The sequence below is a fragment of the Homo sapiens genome, chromosome 2 (genome assembly GCF_000001405.40).
Source record: "Homo sapiens chromosome 2, GRCh38.p14 Primary Assembly".
NCBI classification, from domain to species: domain Eukaryota; kingdom Metazoa; phylum Chordata; class Mammalia; order Primates; family Hominidae; genus Homo; species Homo sapiens.
In genome coordinates, this window is record NC_000002.12 from 113,340,157 (window position 1) to 113,360,642 (window position 20,486).

Consider the following 20,486-nt stretch of genomic DNA (forward strand, 5'->3'; position numbering starts at 1 on the left):
TAATATCCCTACACGTGATCATCAGTCTTTGTTGGAAATATTTCAAGATGGGAGCAGATAATTTCACCTTTAGATGTCTCTGTTGGAAAGTCCTGTGGAGCCTAGCTCATGGTTTCTGGTGTTCACTGATTTCAGATATCTCCCTCTCTGTCATCAGTATCTCTCCCTGTTTGCTGCAGAGCAGCCCTTCTGATTTCCTAAACAAGCTCGGCAACCTTTTAACTTCCCCTTTTCCAGGTTGGAAACTCAGTTTCTCCAACTGTTGTTCCACAGGTTCAGCTGGTGAAAACCCTCCCTTTGATTCTCCTTTGAAGTAGGATCTGCTCAGGGCTGTGTAGTCTGGACACAGTTCAGTGGGTGGCGACTAGCCTCTGTAAAATGATGCGTTTTAAATGGTATTTTGTGAAAATGAGGTGGGGCTCAGAGTTCAGGATAGGCTGGGATGATTCAACTGCAGGAAGGCAAAATTTGGGGGACCTTGGCAGGAGTTTAGGCCTAGGACTTGGATCAGGGGTGATGGGGGTCAGGGGATAAGTAGGAAAGATGGAAGCCAAAGGTCATTTCAAAATTTTAATAAAAGAAAAGTGAGACAATGATGACTTTAAGTTTTCTAATCTGAAAGCCATGGCAATAGCATGGGCGGAAGTGGGGTGGTGGGGAAGGGAGCTGACTGGGGAACAGTTCTGAATTTGCTGCTAGAGGAGGCTGTGGGCACACTCTGGGAGCCCAGGTTCATGGTTAGATTGGAGACACGGGCTTTGGATTCATGAAAAACAGGGAACCTGTATAGGGAGTGAAAATATACAGAGGAGAGAGCCATCAAGAAAGACTCCTATAGGAAATCCTCAGCGCGCAGACTAGAAGAGCCCAAGACCCCCACAAAGGAGATAGGGACTCACTGAATTTTCTGGAGAGCAGCACTGACAACGCCTAAGTAGAGGGCTTTCAAAAGGAAAGAGCGGTTAGTGATAGCAAACGCTCAGGAGGATAAAGAAAATGAGGCCGCTGAGTTTACCTAGGGGGAAGTCAGTTTCAGTAGACTCAAGGGGGCCAAAGTGACCCTGGTGGAGATTCAGAAGGGACTGTGTGTCTGGATACCCCCTCCCAACACCCCCACCGCAGGAGAGCTACATTTCCCCCTCTCCCCTCAGCCCACTGGTCCCTCCCATTGTCTACCTTCCTGCCTTCACTCCCAATTCCTCAGTGCTGACCACCAGTTGGTGGTCTCCTTGGTGGCATGGCTGAATCACTCTTCCCCGGTGGGGAAGGTGGGGTAGTCTCTCAGCAGGGTGCAGCTCCTCAGCGGAGGCCAGGCCCACCCAGGCTGGCCAGCCCACTGTGAGAGCAGCCTGCACTGACAATGCGTCTGCCTGGCAGGTGCAGGAGAACCAAGGTGCTGCTCTGGCAATGACAGCCTCACAGGCCCCTAAGGTTGCAGCTGAACTAGGGAAATATATTTTACTTGACATCTGAATGCCATGGTTCCCAGGGGGCAGAGGGCGAGCTGGGAGAAGCTCCACCCCTCCCTCTCCCTGGCCAGCCCTTTCCCTACAGGGAAACCCCAACACCCTTGTGCATCCTGTGAACTCCCTGTTTCTATCTCCCTCAGCACCGAACAGTCTGCTTTCCCCTGGCCATCAGCTTCTTACTGCCTAGGAGCTCACTCTGGTCTACGCCAAGGGCAAATGTGTCTGCTAAAGTTAAGGGCGATTTCCAAGCTTCTTCGGCAGAGACCCCAGAATTCTAGTAATGAGGGAGACAGGTTATGCCAAGCCTGCTTCTCCCAGGATGCACTGGGAGCCTGGGAACCAGGAGGGAGGGAGGAGGCTCAGCTGAGGAGCTCAGGATTTAATTCTATGCATCATTAAGTAGTCCTCTGAAAGTGGTGTCCCCCTATACATCATCCATGCTTAGTAAACAGCACGCTGACATTACATTAGTGGCTGGAAATGAATTTTCTTTTTTATAGGGAAATTGAGAATCCGCCAAGAAGAAAGAAAGAAAGAAGAAAAAAAACCTCAAAACCAATTATCTAGGCATTTATGAGTTCCACCCTGGTCCCTCTCTCTCTCCTCTCTCACTCAGATGCAAAGAAGCATTTAATATTTAATATATTAAGAAAAGAAAGAAACTTTGATAGATTATGTGGAATCTGGCGTTAATTCTCTCTGCCCCTCCTTACTTCCTCATTCTCCCCTCCCGAAAACCCTTCGCCTCGTTCTAGCTGACATTTAAATGGATTAAGGTGTTCAGATTTCCTTAATAGTGTTGACATTTTGGAAATATTTCTGGCTTTTTTTTTCCTCTCTCTCCTCTAAATAATAATAATAATAAATAAATATTGGAATGGATATTCTCCCTCCCACTGGAAGGCGGGCTCCAGCCCTGTCCTACTCTCTAGCACTGAGGCGATTTACATTTTTCCTTCTTATTTACAAGATGAAGGACAAAGAGAAGTCAAAGTCCTCCTTGGGAGATAGTGGGCTGAGTGTGGGATCGGGGGTGCAACTGGTCAGATGGAATTCTGCTGCTCGCTAACTTATTTCCCAGACCTGCAGCCCCTTCCCCGCTTCTTCAGGGTTTGGCATAGGGGAATCTGTCTGCCTCTCCCAGGTCCTGCACTGTGCCTCCACCCTGGCTCCGTGGCTCTTCCTTCTTGTCACAGGCACCGTCCTTCCTCTTTGTAATGTGGTCGGGCTCCTTTGCAGACTTGCCCTCACTTACCAGACAGACCCGCCTGGGAGTTCCCCTTCCCTTTAGAAATATAGCCCTGTAGTCTAACGAGGAACCCAGAGAAAAGGAGGTGCATTTGATTCTGTCTATTCACTCGTCTCCCTGGAATTTGAGTATCCTTTCTTGCACTGAGCATTGGTGTGTTCCCATACCTAGATGCCAAGGCCTTTGAGTGGTCCATGTCTTTTTAATCTCTGTGTCCCAGCTCACAGCACAACACTTGGTACATAGTAGGCAGGCAGGAAGGAAGGAAGGAAGGAAAAAGGAAAGGGAAAGAAGAGGAAAAGAAGACAGACCCCCTGCAGTTGGAAGTCTTCATTGGTTAGCTAACATTCTCAAATTCCTGATGCTGTATGTGGCCTCCAAACAAAATTAATCAGCAGATGTACAAAGAAGCATGATGCCCAGCTCTGTGCTGAGTCCTGCCCATGAGTTTCCCGTAGTTTAACGGTTGTTGTTACTGTTGTTTGCAGAAATAACTGACAATGTGTATAGAGAACCCAGTGTTCCCAAGAGCAATCCTTCTTCATGAATATCAACTAGAAGGAGATGGAATCAGATGGCCTTGGAGAATAATCTCAGTGCTCTTATTTAGTATAGGCTACTTTATCGCTCAGGACTCAGTTTTCTGATATAGAAAGCAGGGTTGATAACAATCCTGACCTGAGGACACTACTGCGACTATTATAAGGATAACACACATTCACTGATTAAAGACGGTGACCACACCATGAGTGGTCAACAAGTTGTACCTGCTTTGTGTTGTAATGTTAGTTAGGCATTTAATCCAGTAGCTGATCAATAATGGTTTTCACTAACCAGGCTACACTGGTCAACATTTGAGAATATTCCCAAAAAGAAGAAGAAAAGAAATCATCGGAACCTATTATGAGTTCTAACCTGATCTCTTCCTCAAGTTCTGTTTTTATATTCATATGCAAGGAAGCATTTGATGTACAACAAAGTAAAGCAACTTTGAGAGATTTTTGGAAGAGGAGTTTCCAGAAGTATCTGTTAGAAGAATTTCCACTGGGTTTTGGCCACTTTGGCAGAATTAGTACAGGTTCAGTGCAGACAGTGAGTGGCCTGAGTGATAACAGGCATGATTCATTCTGACGCTCACACTTCTCTGTGGGTGGGTCCCCACCCTCTGCCTTTACCTCCTTGTGTTTCTGCACCTACCCCTGGCCTTGCCACCTTGCCACTGGCCTGCTCCTTTCAGTATGCAATGATGTGAGTGTTTTCTAGGGACAAATACCCCAATTTTTAAAAATCTGGATTGCCCCATTTCCACAAAGTTGACTTTTATTCTTTCTTCCAAAGATATCCCAGCCCAAACTTCATGGAACCACTTTCTCCCTTGGGCTGTGTGTGGCCTGCAAGGGTGTTATGTGCATCAGACTTGCTTGGCTTAGCAGGGGACGCAGCAAGACTTCAGGGCTTGGTTTAAATTGCTTTTTTATATCTTAGTTGTAATCAGCCTGGAGTCTACTTTGTATTTTTGCCCTTTCTTTTCATTTTGAGATCCCTACTCTGTTAATCTATTAATACTTGCGTTTTGAGTCATTGACTTTAGATTCGCTGCTTTTCATGGTCTGTGACTTAGTGTCTGTTAGATTCAAAAGAAGTGTCCAGCACATATGATTTGCCAAGCACTGTAAGAGGTGCAGGATTAACCGATGACTAGGACATATTTCCCTGCATCAAGCTTACGGCCTAGAAGGGCCTAGAAGGGCATCGAGCTTGCAAACCAGTAAATAGTGTCTACAATTAAAGAGCATTCAAAGGACTGAATTGGCATAGATTGGGGAGCAGGGGTCAGGGAAAAAGCAGGAGGGAGTCAAGAAAGAAGAGGGCATTCTCCAGGGAGACTGGTGAGGGTGGGGTTAGTGGAGAGGTTGTGCAGAATGCAGAATTCACATACTCTCATTCTTCTTTTCATTTAATAAAGAAGGATTTAATTAGGCTTTTTTTTTTTTTTTTTTTGAGATGAAGCCTCACTTTTGTCTCCCAGGCTGGAGTGCAATGACATGCTCTTGGCTCACTTCAACCTCCACCTCCCGAGTTCAAGTGATTCTCCTGCCTTGGCCACCTGAGTAGCTAGGATTACAGGAGCCTGCCACCATGCCCGGCTAATTTTTGTATTTTTAGTAGAGATGGGGTTTCACCATGTTGGCCAGGCTGGTCTTGAACTCCTGACCTCAGGCGATCCCCTTGCCTCGGCCTCCCAAAGTGCTGGGATTACAGACATGAGCCACCATGCCTGGCCTAATTAGGCTTATGTTGGATTAGATGACCCTAATTCTATCTGATTGAGTGCATTCAGAAGATAAGAGAAAGAGATTCCTGGTTGCAGACCTCAGGTCTTAGCTTCTGCTCTTCTGCTTTCTTCCCTCAGTTGCCCCAAGAGCTTCTATTAATTACATTCATGTTATATAGGCTTTGAGCTGGTCACCCCATTCATTCACCCATTTTTTCTGCTTACTGGTGAGGTTGAATGGATTTTTGTATGCTTATTGGAAACTTGTGTTTCCTCTTCTGTAAAACGATTATTCATGATTTTTTTGACATTTGTTGTTGTTGTTGTCGTTGTTAAGCTGTTTGCCTTTTTCTTACTGATTTGCAGAAACTCTGTCCTGAAAACCTGTGGTTGATTATATGTGTTGCAAATATTTTCTCCCAGATTGTGCCTAGTCTTTTCAATTTTTTATAGTGTATTTTGATGAACCCACATTCTTGATTTCAACATAGTCAAAGTTAATCTTTTCTTTATGAGTTTTATTTTTATATGGTGTTTTAAAACAAAAGTATTTCCTATCTTAAAGTCAAAGATATTCCCTCATATTGTCTTCTAAAGTTTTAAATTTTACCCTACATATTTAAGTTATTAAGCCACCTAGAATTGATTTTATGTACGCTGTGAAGTAGAATTCCAATTTAGGTGGTTTGTATGGTTAAATAGTTGTTGCAGTGAGATTTGTTGAATAGTCTGTTCTTTCCTTGTTGAGCTGCACTGTCAGTTGTGTTTATATTAAGTGGTGTTCATATATATGTGGATCTATTTCTGGGTTCTGTGATCCTTTCCACTGGATAATTTCTCTATCTCAGCCCTGCTGACAGAGTAGCATATTCGATGAAACTCTTGAGTCCAAATAGTGGGAGAAGGAGCTCAAAATAATTCCTTTGGTTCACAGAGACTCTTCCTTATAGGGGTGGTTTAATGGTGGTATATAGGGGTAGACTTGAAAAAAAGGATTAAAATCTCAGCTGTGGCACATATATATGTGACTTTTGGCACATTTTTCAATTTTTCTGAGCCTCAGACTCTTCATCTGTTAACTAGGAATAGTAGTTTAAACCCGAGAAGCTGCTTTGAGGATTAGGTTAAATTTTGTATTGTAAAGGACGTGAAAGTGCCTGGCAGTATAATGGGCCTGGGAGGTGGTGTTTTGCAGCTCTCCTAAACTAAGGCTACATGGACATTTTCTAACAGCTTCAGCCCAAAGTGAGTCAGGTCTTGGAATTGCCCTACAAGAAAATGAGACATAAGCCCCCAAATGAATTATTTGTTTCAGATCACCGAACTGTCTTCCCAAACCTCCTGTCTTAGTTCCAAACTCATTTTAGAGGGCATGGGGCTGTGAAGTTTCTCTGCTAAAAATGATTGAGGATAACTGGGAAAAGGAAACTTGCTATGTATTACTGAATTAGGAATAGCAGATGAGGGAAAAACTCATGCAGGGAAAGTCATTGTCAAATGCTTGAACTCTAGGTTCTGAAGTCCAACTTAAAGAAAGGCTCTTTTACTACTTATTGGCAATATAATAATTTAAAAAGCACTTTATAATTCATAAAGTCCTGCTATGTAATTTAGTCCATTTTATTCTTTTTACACCGTGAGATGGTCTGAGATTTGAAGTTGGCTCTGAGAGTCTGAGACATGCTCAAGTTTACAGAGCAAGGAGGTGAGGTTGGCAGGTCTCAGACTTAGGCTGGGCAACTCAAACTCTCTAGTTACACACAAATGGTGACTCTACCTTTATGTACTGAGATAATTTCAAACATATTTTCCACCATTCTCATATGTATTCTTGTAGGTCAGCTCACACTCTTCATAAAACATTAATTATCACTAGCTGGGCCAAGATTTCTAGTAGAACTGGGGTTGGGCATTCTTCCAGGCAACCACCAAACTCAACTCCCAAAAATGCAAGCAGTTTTTAAAGTATTGTTTGTACACAAATGGAAATGCTTTCTAATGCACTTCCCCTCATGTATTTGTTATGGAGTTCCATCTAGGGCCAAGATTGTCCAGCATATATTGGTCTTGAGACAATGGAGAGGCTAGTAGATACCTGTTTACATGCCAGCGTGGCACCAGGAGTTCCAGACCAGGTTTTACCAACCTCAAAAATGTGGCCAGCGTCTTTGGGCACTTGGTCCTACCCTGGCAACACCTTGAGAGCAGCATCCTGGGAGCTAAAGGAGTTTGACAGTTGCCTGAAAGAACTCCAAGTTTCTGGGTTTCCTTGCCTGTTCCAGGCCATCCTTCACACACACACACACACACACACACACACACACACACACACACACACACACACACACACACACACACACACAGTGCTTCCCCTTCACCAGTCTTAGGTACTCAACCCAAGAGCACCGACGACTTCCTTACCATCTCTAAGTTTTGATGCCTTCAGCTTCTTTTTCCAGTATCTCTCATTATTGAATTGAAATGCTTTTTAATTGAAATGTTTCTTCCCACTTCCCTAGCAGATAGAAAATTTCTCTGATGTCACTCAAGGCTCAGACCATGGCCTTCTGCTTCTCTACCTTGTTCCCCACACTCAAGGAGTCATACGTCTCTCCTTATAGATGACCTCTGAATCTCATCACTTAGACCTGATCACTGATGAGAACATCAGACTGTGTCTCCAGGTATCTATGCATATCTCCCTGTGTTCTCTTAAGCTCTCCTCTCCTCATTAACTATGACTCTTCTAATTTTTATTTATCCATCAACATTGCTATGATTTCATTGATGATCAAGACTCATTCTTGACTTCTGTCTTCTCCTTCATTCTCTATGTCTTATTCAGTAACCAAATCAATTTATTATCCCTTTCATAACATTTTTTCCTATCATTATTGCCAGAACCCTAGTTTAGGCCTTCACACCGTGTTTCATTAGCCTCCTAACCTGATTTCTCATGGACAGTTTCAATGCCATGTTGACTCATCATGCCCCTTCTCCACACCAGATTTTACAAAGGCTTCCTTTGCCAACCCTTATGGGAGAGCTTTACAGCCCTTTTAGTAAAAGGACTTGTCTTCAGCCAAACACATTCACTAACATTAAGGTTTCTTAATTTTTGTAGCTACTCTCACCACCATGCTTATACATGTGTGAAATTCTGGGCTCAGCAGTCCCCAGAAACCTTCTCAGATCACCCCCTTCCACCGAGTCCTCTTTCTTTCCTATGGGTCCCTTTGCAGGCACATCAATCTTTGGTAACATCCTGCCCGGCATGACCATCATCCTGATTCATGTACATCTTATACCTTGTACCCTGTGTCTGGCCGCACAAAACTCCTGCTCCTGCTCTGAGTCACCTACTGTTTCTCTGATACACTGTGGCATTCATTAAATTCAGTGGGATTAATGGGTGGAGTATTGTTTCTCAGGACACAGGAGTAGGTTGGGGTTGGCTTCCTTTAAATTAGTGCAGACTTAGGCTATCTTCCTTGATGCTCTTGATGTTGACAGACCAACTCTCTATTTCTCATTGACCCCTTTTCTAAGCAATGTGCTCAATTTTCCCAGCTCTCCTTAGTTCCTAATTTCTCTCAACAATTCACTTCCCTTGGTTCCCTTTTGGGACATGGTCTTGATTCACATCTTACTGAGCTCTCTGGGACACAGTGTAATAGGCTGTAGTCATAGACTCAGAAAAAGGGACAAGAAATCAGAAAATTGTATTCCTTTCATAGCACTGGGGAAGTCACTTACCTTCTTTGACTCTCCATTGTCTTCCATGGTAAACTACAAATAGTAGTATTTCCCCTCTCAGGACTGGTGTGTGATCCCATGAGATAATGAACATGGAAAACCTTTGCACAACATGAAGCAGTATGTGAGAGGTGTTATCAGCCCTCCTTCTCTGCACCTTCAGATATTGCTGTCTCTACCCACAAAGTGCTTCCTTTACCTTTCATCTCACCTGCTGTCTCCATCTGACTCTGGCTGCAGCAACTTCAGTCTTTCCCTCTTCGTGCATTCTTTCCTCTCTATTGACAATCCTTTCCCTGCCTTATGCACCATCCTCACTTTCCTAGCATGTAAACAACCTCTTACTTGATCCTTCTGTCTGTTCCACCTCCCACCAGCCACTGTCCTTTTCCCTTTCCTTTTGTAACCAGAGAGGACAACACGTAGTCCCTCCTGCTGGCTCATTACCTACTATTTCCATAGCTCCTGCATTTCTTCCCAATGACTCTCCCTAAGCCAGCAGATCTGTTTAAGTTCTCAGTTCTTATCCTCCTTAAACTCATTGTTTCGTCTTCTTTTCTGATTCAGTATCACCCCATCCTTTTACAGTGGGCTTTTCTCCAGGCCTAGTCTTCTTGCCATCTGCTCTACCCCCACACAGGGAACCATAATGCACTACATTCTCTTATTTTACTCCATTCAGATTGAATCATACTGGGAGTACTGTGTTTACTTCTAGCTTTCACCTTCAGTGAGAATTATTACCAACTCAGGGATATTCAATAAGGAGCACCAAGATGGTAAGGGCACTAGAATGATCTCCTCTTATGGAACACTTGATAGAATGGATGTATTTAACATACAGAAGAGAAAATCCAGAGAAAATGTACACTTTGCTGTCTTAACACATTTGAAAAGATGCAAAAAAGTTTCTGTTTACTGATTTGAATTCCTACAGAAAATGGAATTAGACAGAAATTACAGACAGGTAGATATGGAATCACTAGCAAGCAACACATGCCAGTCTTGTGAAGGCTCTGCCATCAGATGACATGGGTTCAAATCCCAGGTCGACCACTTCTGTATGACCTTGAGCAAGCTATATCATTTCTCTGTGCCTTCATTTTGTCATCTGCAAAACGAGGATAGATAATTATAGTGCCTATCTTATAGTGTTATTTTGAGGATTAAATAAGACAGTGCATGTACAGCCTAGAAGAATGTCCGGCAGAAGGAGACTGCTCAATACATGTTAGCTGTCCTCTTCTCCTGCTCCTCTTTGTATCATCATCATCATCATCATCATCATCATCATCATCATCATCATCATCGTCATCATCATCACCTGCATTTAGAGCTGTCCAGTAATGGAGCCAACTCTTCACAAAGCAGTAGACTTCATGTTTCTAGAAGAATGCTCAACCCAAATGGTACTGGGGACATAGCAGAAGTGTCTTCTTTGGCGAGGTAGGTAGGACTGGATGCCATCAAAGTTCCCTTTCTGTATTTTCTCTTCACCACCACTGTCCCTGAGCATCTCCCATTCTGGGTTCTCCGGGTCTATCAGTGGTGGTGCAATGCTCTCTGGCACTCAGGCCTAAATCATCCCTTTAGTTCCTTGGCTCCCTCTTACACGTTTCACCTGGCAGACAGAGAGGCTTCCTGAGGGCAGGCCCTTACAAAAGGAATCCATGTCCATAAGCCTCCATTTCCACATGGAGTCTCATGCCTCCTCACATCACTAATGCCAGTATCTTTGTCCCTGCCCTCCTAATATTTGGCAATCCTGTGGAATCAATTTGGCATCTAGCTTAAACCAAGTTTCTAAATTTGTTTCCATGGTAGAATTCGGGACCTTGGATCCACCCACTTTCTCCCCAAGCTGGCTCCAGGTTTGTACAAGCATCTCTCACCAAGATCATCAAACTAAAGGCTCAGCCAAAACATGCATCTTTTTAGTCCTCAATCGCAGGGTCTGTGATTATTTCATTGCTGAGTCTCCTGCATCCATCTGATCATTTCTATTTCCTTTGTTCCCACCTTTACCTAGGCCATAATCTTCTCTGTTCTATTTCATAATTCATTAAAAAGCCTTGGCCAGGTACAGTGGCTCATGCCTGTAATCCCAGCACTTCGGGGGGCAAAGGCGGGCAGATCGTGAGCTCAGGAGATCAAAACCATCGTGGCTAACATGGACAAACCCCATCTCTACTAAAAATACAAAAAATTAGCCGGGTGTAGTGGCAGGCGCCTGTGGTCCCAGCTACTCGGGTGGCTGAGGCAGGAGAATGGCGCAAACCCAGGAGGTGGAGCTTGCAGTGAGCTGAGATAGCGCCACTGCACTCCAGCTTGGGTGACAGAGTGAGATTCCTTCTCAAAAAAACCAAAAAAAAAACAAAAAAAAACAAAAAAACTCTTGTACCCAGTATCTTCTCTCCAACACCATCCATTTCTCCCTTCTTCAAACATTTTAGTGCTTCTATAGCCAATGATAGATTTCAAACATCTTAAGTTGCACCCAAAATCCTTCACATTCTGGCCAATTTTCTTCTATAGCTTTCTGGAAGTATAATTTTATGCAATAACATTCATCTATTTTAAATATACTGTTTGGTGAGTGTGAGAATATGAACACAGCTGTGCAAATTTCACCACAATCAGGATTAGTTCATTTCTATTACTTCCCTGTGTCCCCGGGAACAAATAATGTTCCCACTGTTTCAACCCACTTCCTGCCATCTGTTGTCCCATACAGCCACTAGTCTGCTTTCTGTCACTACAGTTTTTCATTTTCTAGAATTTCTTATAAATAGAATCTAACAGTATACAGTTTTTTATGTCTGGACTTTTTACTTAGCATGATGCCTTTGAGATTAATCTATGTTGTTGCATACGCCAGTAGTTCTTTCCTTTTTATCGCTGAGTAGTATTCAATTGCATTGATGTAGACATTTGAGTTATTTCCAGTTTTTGGCGATTATGAATAAGGCTCACATGAACATTCATGTACAAGTCTTTGTATGAACAAACAGATGATGACTCCACTTATCCCACAAGCAATACAGGACATGCCCACTTTACATTTCTTCCCATTCAAGTCATTGTAATAAAGATTTATTATTCCTTGTGCTAGACATCGTGTAGGAATACAGACACAGTTAAGCCCCATGGATATTACAATATAGTGAGAGAAATAGACGCACACATGGGTCGTTCACATGCAAAGCAGATCACCAAGATAGAGGAACCAACAACAAGGGGACAGGGAGAGAGCACACTGACTGAGGGGACGGGGGAAATCAGGAAGGATTGCTTAGAGGAGGCAGAAGCAGTGTGAATAAAGACCTGGAGGAAAGAAGGCAGGACTTGTTTGAGGGCTGACAAATACCCATGTTAAATTCTATCTCACTTGGCCAGCCATCCTTGTAAAGCCATTGTAAGTGCTTGTCCTCCTCAAAACTTCTGCAATGTACTCTTCATACTGCCAATCAGCTTTCCTTGTCAGGAGAGGGAATTTTTCAGCCTACTTTGCAAATAAAGCTATATCCCAACACGGTCTGAGCCCAAGAGCCAAACATTTGATCCAAGGGGTGGATGGTGGTATCCTCAAATGTGGCCCGAGGAGAGGCTGGGATACTGGAGAACAGGTCTACACTAATTGGAAAGCCAGCCAAAGGGAGGAGCAGGTCCAGAGCAGGCAGGAGCAGTCCTCATCCTGGGCAGCTGGTGCACGTGTACACAGGTGTCTCTTCAAATTCATTGTCTATGGCAAAGAGATGTCAACTCCTCATGGATGAATGAATGAATGAACATATGTCACCAGTAGGCTCTCATATGTGTTCCAGTATATTATACATTCAATCTGGATCAATCAGATGTGCAGACACTTGAACAACCTACAGTTCTCACTTGCTGCTTTCTGGTTAAGTGCTCAGCAGTCCACATGCGGAGTTGAATGTCTAAGAAAATAATTTCTTTGCGTTCTGATGCTGTAAAATATTGTTTGGATTAAAAGGGCAGGAACAAATTGATGGATCTGAAAGTTTTTTTTCTTTTGGCTTGGCGATGACAGGGCAATCCATCAGACAACTTCCTTGGCTCCCTGTGACATTTCAAGCTCAAATGTTATAGCTTTCTTATTTTTTCTTTTCTCTTTTTTTTTTCACCCCCAGCTCTCTATTGAACTGTGCCTCCAGGAAATGCATGCTGTTGATATGAGTTCCATGACACTTGTCATACAGGAGGCACTCGGTAGAGGCTTGTGGAATAATGGCTGGGAGTACTCAGGTTAGCTTAGCAGGTTGTGCCAAAGATGAGGTAACTCCTTAACCCACCTATGATGCTGCCTCCATCTGTGCCCTAGAGCATGCAGCAAAGAGTTCTTTCAAAATAGAGCAGGCTCCAGACAATGTTCAATGATGCAGCTGCCCACAGAATGTGATTTCAGCATCTGGATTATATGCAGAGAGAAAACATGAGAAGTCAGAATGCTTGGAATTTCACCTGGATCTGCCACCATGCATAATGTGAATTTGGAAATGCTACTTAACTTCTCCAAGACACAGCTTATGAATCTTTGAGCCAGAGAAAATAAGTAAGTGTAAGAATCAGATGAGGTAATGACTGTGGATATAGTATAAAAATACGGAAAGTAATTAGAAATGAAATACACCCTCTGTAGTAGTTATCTGTTGATGTATAACAAACAACCCCAAACTTGGGTGAATTGAAACAACAATCATTTATTAATTATCTCATAGTATAATGGGTCAGAAATCTGGGAGTGGTGTAACTGGGAGTCTGCTCACAGGCTCTCAAGACGTTGGCTGGAACCACATCATCTGAAGGTTTGACTGGGGCTGGAGAATCATCTCCCAAGATGGGTCACTCATGTGGCTGTTGGCAGGAAGTCTTAGTTCCTTGCTGACTGTTGTCAGGAGGCTGCAGTTACTCTCCATGGAAGCTTCTTCCTAAGACTGTTTGAGTGTCCTCACCACAGGGAAGCTGGCTTCCCACAGAGTGAGTGATCCAAGGCAGATGTCATTATGTGCTTTATGACACAGGTGCAGAAGTCAAACACTGTGATCACCTCAATACCCTATTGGTTCTCCAGGTCACCCCTATTCAGTCTGGGAGGAGACTACACAAGGATATGATTTCCAGGAGATGGGGATCACTGTGAGCCATGCTGGAGGCTAACCTCCACATCCTCTCTCAGTTTAAATGGTTCCACTGGGAAATAAGCGATATAGTTGATTACCGCTGAGGTCCTCCCCTTTTAACCACATCCCTGCTTGCTCCAATTAGCCCTCCCTCAAGCCCGCTATGTGTTGCTCTCCTTTCCCTTCTTGCTGAAAATTCCTGCTGTCATTGTCAGTCCCTTGTTTCATACTAAAATTCAGTTTTAGTCTCTAACGGGTCTCTGTGGAAATGTCTGTGTGTAGCATCTGAAGGAAGTCTCTGGTGCTCTTGTCTTATGGTGCCAGCCTCATTGGTTTGTCATTCTTTTGCTGGTGCAGCCCATTGCAATTTGCATGGTGCCATCACATGCTCATGTGAGACGGGGTCCCTCCTTTGAGAGTCAATAACGAGGTGACCAATGTTGGCAGTGAGTGAGCATGCTCTGGTCTCTGTCTTCCTCACATTTGTTATTTTCCAATGTGTGTTTCTGTCTGGGTTCTCACCTGACTCTGGCAGCCCAGGTAGACAGAGCAGGCATTGCTCCCTCCATTTTGTGGGTTGAAAAACTAAGGCTCAGAAAGTCCTAACCGAGGCATTTTCTGGAATTGGGAACACAGGAAGGAAACATATTGGGTGGTTAAAACACGGAGTTTGGCTTTAAACCTCTTGCACTTGAGGTGTCTGTGGCGTATTCGTGAAGTTAATGTGCAGCCTTGAATACAGCTTATAGATGATTAACTGGGCATGGAACGAGATCTCATATCCTGATTATTTTGCTTTATCTGTACATTTCTCCACTCCTTCCAGCTGTTGTAGTGTGTTCTGTCTTCTTGATCCCAGACGTCCTGGCTTGGTTTTTCTCAAGGCCATCCTCCTTAGCCTCACCAACCTCATTGGCCTGGTTGCACACAGCTTCGAGTGCCCACAGACCAACTGAAGGGGAGCTGCTGTCTGCTGGGGAGGGTTCTAGTGGAGGAGTCTGTGGGTCCCTGTGAAGAGAGTCTGGGAGAGGGTGCAACAGCATACGGGCTTCACCATCCATTAGCAAAAGCAGAGGCTTTTAAAACACAGTCCATCCATCCAAATGGACCTTCATGTCTATTTCCATAAGGTCCTGAGGCCCAGGCCCACCTTTACCACTAGTTAGCTGAGAAGTACTAGGGCTGAAGGTACTGATCCGGTGCTTGCTGGAGCCTGCCACACTGTCCCCACCCTACCTGTGTCAGCTTAGTCTGCAACCCCAGTCAACTCTGTTTTCTTCCACCTTGAAAACTCTTTGAAAGAACACAAGAAGTGGGGGTCCCTGAGGGCCGGGCACCCCTCATGTTCAGGCCCACAGGCCATTTAGGCAGCTGCTTCTCCAACCTTATCTTCCTTCTGCCTCCATGGAAACCTGAGAAAGACGGAAAGGGGGAAGCGGCTGTGCTTTCCCAACACAAATAACCCCACAGAGCTTTCTCAGCAGTGACCCTTAGCCTGTTGTGTCAGCCTCAGGCTGAGGGAGGAAGGAAATAGACCTTCTATTGAGTATTTTTCTTCCCCTGTCAAGAAGATCAGAGGAACTAAGAGGGAAAGAAAAGGAGTCAAAAGCACCTTGTGGCCTCCTCCTGCAGGATTTGTGTTGCTCTTCCCCTCCCCTCTTGAACTCTAAGTAAACAAACTCCCCAGCCAAGGAAGGCCCCAGGCCCAACTCCAAGCAGGCCATAAATAAGAGCCCTTCAGCCTTTCACTCTCTGGCAAGTCGGGAAGGCCCTTCTGAGTGGAACATTTGATAGCGGGGGAGTGCTGGGGGGAGAGTCCTTGTGTTAATTGAATCCCAATTTCCTTCTCCCAGGCCCACTCTTATCTTTTTAATTATACGAAGCCTTTAATCTTCCCAGGACCTGTCTCTGTCATTAATGCGTGATCCTATTAGAGATAGGGGTTTGCTCAGGGGTAATGGGAGCCGCAAGCAGAGGCCTTTGGCAACTTTTTTGCTTTCTAAAGCACCCAGAGTTACCTGGGGCTGAGGCAGGGAGACATTTTGGGCTCCCCTCAGCTCTCAGATGGAGTTCCTTGGGCCATCTGTGTTTAAACCGTGTCTGAGATTAGACTCTTATGGTCAGTATCTGTTGTGGCCCTGAAACTGCAGAGTAGCTCCGTCTAGCAGCTAAGGGGCAGATGAGTTCAGGCAACCTGCTTAGGAAAAAAATCAGACGAATTGTACTCGCAGGATGCTGGGTGCCCAGGTGGGATTCCAGAAGGAGTTGAGGCATTGTGCATTTCCTAAATGCTAGAGCATACCTTTGGTGCTGGTGAATAAAGCTTATGTTCTCACGGGCTTTCCCTAACGCTGCAGAGATGCATTACCTCCAGGTGACAATGGCTTGGGACACTCCAGGGTTACCTTTCTCTTCAACCCCAGCTGCCTTGTCAAAGGCCTAATGAGCTGTAAACCAATACTTAGGAATGCAAAGGCCACACCCTACTTGAAGGGGTTTGGCTCATATTAAGTGTTCAATAAGTGTTTGCTAAATAACTTTTAAAACAAGAATTCCAAGAGCCATTCACTTTAGAATATGAATTCGCAGGTATTTATTGCGATTACTGCTTCTCATTTACGGCTCAATTCTACTGGACTTTTTTTTTTCTGGGCTACAAGGTGGCCTGTAGGGTCCCTTCAGCAAGGTAGTCTGGTATTTCACACATCCCTAGGTGTACAGAAAGATGGGTAAAGCTGAGTCCCTGCAAGGGGCCTCATGCTCAGTTAGGAAGATAAATTTTGTTAGTTTTCAATACATAAATATATGTGTATATATGTATACGTGTATATAAGTCAATATATAGATATATATAGTATACAACTGTATATACAATTACATATGCATGTATATGTGTGTGTGTATATTTGTGAATTGTCTTCAGAGACTTCGGCTATGATTTCAACTACATATATATGTACACACATATATACTATACATATACACACATATATGTACATATATACATACATTTATATATACACACACACAAATATGTATAGTTGAAATCGCAGCTGGCTTCTCTGAAGATGGGAGTCCATACACAGAACACCGTCAGCAAACTGTATACCTGAATGAGTAAATATTCAGATTCTGCACTGAACATCGTGTCTTGTCATCTCCCTGACTCATTATGCACAACCACTTTAGGGTCTGTAGCAGAGATGCTGTCACTGACAAAGGTCACATATCTAGAAGGTGTGAGAGTCTGGATTCTAACCCAGGTCTGATCACAAAGCCCAGCCCTCAACCCCAGAGCTCCATAGTCAAAATGTTTCTCTTTGCTTGCAACCACAGTGTCTGCTCCTGAAAGTGTGTAGGTCTGGTCACAGGCTCTTGTGAAGACATAATGATCCTGGACATGGTCCAGAGAAGAGCAATTAAAACACTCAAGGGGAAGAAAAGGCTTCTGTTTGAGGACAGATTTTTAAAAAGCAGTAAAATCTGAAAAAAGGCAGAGTGAGCAGGGCATGATGGAAATCTCTAGGATGTGGAGAGAACCAAGAGGGAGACAGCCTGCCTGCCAAGGTGGCACTCACTGAAGCTTACAACCAGCAGTTTTAGGACAATGACAAGAAAGTTCTACTTACCACGTTCCATAAGTTTGCTGCCTGCTGTGTGATCCCAAGAGGTGGCACAGGCTGAAAATATAAATAGAATCCCATCCTATGAACATATTGCTGTGAGCTCCCTACAGAACGCCTGGCTTCCCATTGTCAAATTCAAGCTCTCAGTTTCTAATGGTTGAAACCAGGAGTGAGCAAACATTTTCTGTAAAAGATCAGAGTAAATATTTCTGGCTTTGTGGATCAACACTGCCCTAAATGCTCAACTCTGCCATTGTAGTACAAAAGTAGCCATAGACAGTACCTATGAATGAGCATGACTGGGTTCTATTAACATGCTATTTACACAATTAGCAAGGCCCAGATTTGACCAGCAAGCTGTAGTTTGCCAACACTTGGTCTACACCAATTCACAGTTGAGTTGAATCATACAATTTAAAACTGGGAGGCATCTTGATGATCACACCTTTATTTTATAGAGCAGGAGGGTGACATCCAGAGATGTCAGATGAATTTCCCAAGGTCCTATAGCTGGAGACCCACAGTGGGTTATTAGGGTTGTCCGGGGAAAATATTTAGATGCTCTGAAAATAGTTTCATGAAGGATGGGAGCCAAGTGTCCCATGCCGGGCATTTCTGACTCTCTTAAATATATGTTGGTGCTCAAAGACTGCCTTTTCTTAGAAAATATATCAGTTTAGGAAGGATTTGGAAATATAGCCCTTATTTTTAAAGCTATAATATAGCCCTTATTTAAAAAAAAACTGAGGGCTGTTTAAAAATCCCTGGAAATCAGAAAACAAGAAACATACTTCTCCCTCAAGTCCCTCACCCCTACCCCTAGTTCTCAGATGGGAGACAATTTTATTTCTTGACAGGTTCTGCAAGGGGCATTTGCCCTCAGAGCTGATGGCCCTGCGTCTGTCAATGCAGGTTGTACATCTCCCTCCCTTAGGTAGGAAGGTGCTCCTTAGGAGCTTGGTGTTGGGCCTGTCCACTGAGAACATTCATCTTCCACATTTGGGCAAGACTTTGCTGAAAACAATTGCTTTCCATACTCTGTTGGCTACAGCCAGGAACAGTTCAAATTTTTTGGTGCTCAGAGTCTTTAGCAGGAAGGTGAGTGTGTGTGTGTGTGTGTGTGTGTGTGTGTGTGTGTGCAGCTGGTGTGGGGAGGGAGGGAGAGGAGCAGCAGCTGACAGCTCAGGAATGCATCAGTGCTCAGAAGGTTCTAAGAATGATTATGTAGATAACTTGTTTTTTTTCTGGGACCCATTGAAGATCCCTCATGAAAATAAAAACTCATTGACTCAAGTAACCCTTTAGAAGTCAAAAATCTTAGTGGGAGACAGATGTATCACCGTTGCAGGTTTGGTGTCTGGAGCCCTCAATGGTATCCCCAATTCACTCTGTTCCTTGAGTCACTTCCTTGGTTGACTCAGTATTGTGGTCTGGGTCAGAGAGGTGAGCCATGTGCTCTTTGGCACTTTAGCAAAATGGCTAAGGTGGGGAAGACAGTAAAGGTGAGGGGACAGTATAGGCTATCTTAAACCCTGATGGCTTATTTTCCTCTGGAGGTAGCTTTGAGCTTCTGGAATAGAAGGGACTCCATCGTAAAGGCTTAAAAAGGAGTCGATCAGCTGGAGATTTGGTCCACATAACAAGTAAGGCCACTTGGCCTTTAAGAAGTGTGGTGATGAGGGAACACTGGACTCTGAGAATCCAGCTGTGGTCCAGTGACTCCCTGAGCAATTCCTGTCCAAGAGATGTCTCTACTTGAAGGCCACACAAATCTGTCAGTAGACAATTTTTTGTAACCAATTGCAAGATTTCCTACCTGTTGGTTGATTGCAAGAGGTGATCAGGCTGTTGGCCTTATAAACAGATGACTGATGCAGGCCTGGCTCCTGCAGGTGAAGAAGGCTGCTTCAAATTTGTGCTTCAGAGCCAGGAAGTCCTGGATTCAGGTCTCAGCTCCAACACTTACCAGCTTTAGTTCATTGCAGAAGTTATTTTGATTTTTAATCTCAGCTTTGGAACATAGAAACCAGTCTGTAGCAGATGCTCAGTAAAGGTCATTTTCCTTTTCATCCCAACCTTTCTCACACTTGGCCACTCTCTTGTTCAACTCCCCCACCCAGTGCAGACCTGGACACTCCCAGAGAGAAGGTCACACCTCATTGGGAAGCTGTTCTTGAGCAGTTCCAGCTTCAAGTCATCCCTGAATCTACCGCTCATTCAGCATATAACTGCTCTTCAAATATGCTAAGTACTTTTCTCTCATTATAAAGTTGACACATGCATTGCAGAAAATTTGAAAAATATAGAAAACATAATTTGGAAAGCATCCCCAATAAATATAACTTGCAGTGATGAGCACTGTTAGCATTTTGGTATGTTTCTTCCTATTTGTGCTTGTGTGGGCAGGCATAGGTTTTACAAAATTGGAATCACATTGACTGTAGATTTTGTATACAGCTTGTTCTTTTCACTGACATTCTGACATTTCTCATATCATTAAAGTCTTTGAAAACATATTAAATATTTTTAATGGTCACCAAATTTTCTGTGGCATGGATATATTGCAATGTGTGTAAGGTATTCTTAGTTTTGGATACCTAGACTGTTTCTAATTTTTCAATATTATAAACAACACTGCCATAAATATCACTGTAGGAAAATCTTTGCCACATTCTGATTACTTCTTTGAGATAAATTCCTAGCAGTAGAAGTCCTGGCCAAAGGATGTGGGAATTCTTAATGGCCTTAACATTGAGGGCCATGTGGTTCTCTAGAAAAGTTGTGTCAATTTCTATCTGTGGGGTATGTGTCAATTTCTGTGGGTTGTGCTTCTCAGAATCCTGTTGTAGTACTTAGATTGAAACAAGCAATCTCTCATATGATCCATCAATTATTGGAAGGTAGCTCTCAAATCTCCCCAGTTTATCTTCTTTCTGGGCTAAAAAGCCATTTCTTCAAAATACTCCAAAG

At 43.7% G+C, this 20,486-nt stretch overlaps 2 long non-coding RNA genes across 2 annotated transcripts in view, besides 1 other annotated feature; one reads left to right on the forward strand and one right to left on the reverse strand.

Moving 5' to 3' along the window:
- The window catches only part of LINC02966 (long intergenic non-protein coding RNA 2966), a 101,028-nt gene that overhangs the window by 15,119 nt on the left and 65,423 nt on the right, over window positions 1–20,486 (forward strand). The window lies entirely within an intron of this gene.
- Window positions 1,364–1,863: an enhancer, noted in NCBI's record as "H3K4me1 hESC enhancer chr2:114099097-114099596 (GRCh37/hg19 assembly coordinates)". NCBI's record gives its function as "activates a minimal SCP1, AML or CMV promoter by ChIP-STARR-seq in primed H9 embryonic stem cells {active_cell/tissue: H9 hESC(primed)}" and the evidence as "EXISTENCE:reporter gene assay evidence [ECO:0000049][PMID:30033119]".
- On the reverse strand, window positions 15,219–19,488 carry LOC124906070 (uncharacterized). Its single transcript, XR_007087202.1, has 3 exons — window positions 19,333–19,488; window positions 17,520–17,570; window positions 15,219–15,302 (listed from the first exon to the last, which is right to left on the reverse strand). It is a non-coding gene; the product is annotated as an uncharacterized LOC124906070 (long non-coding RNA).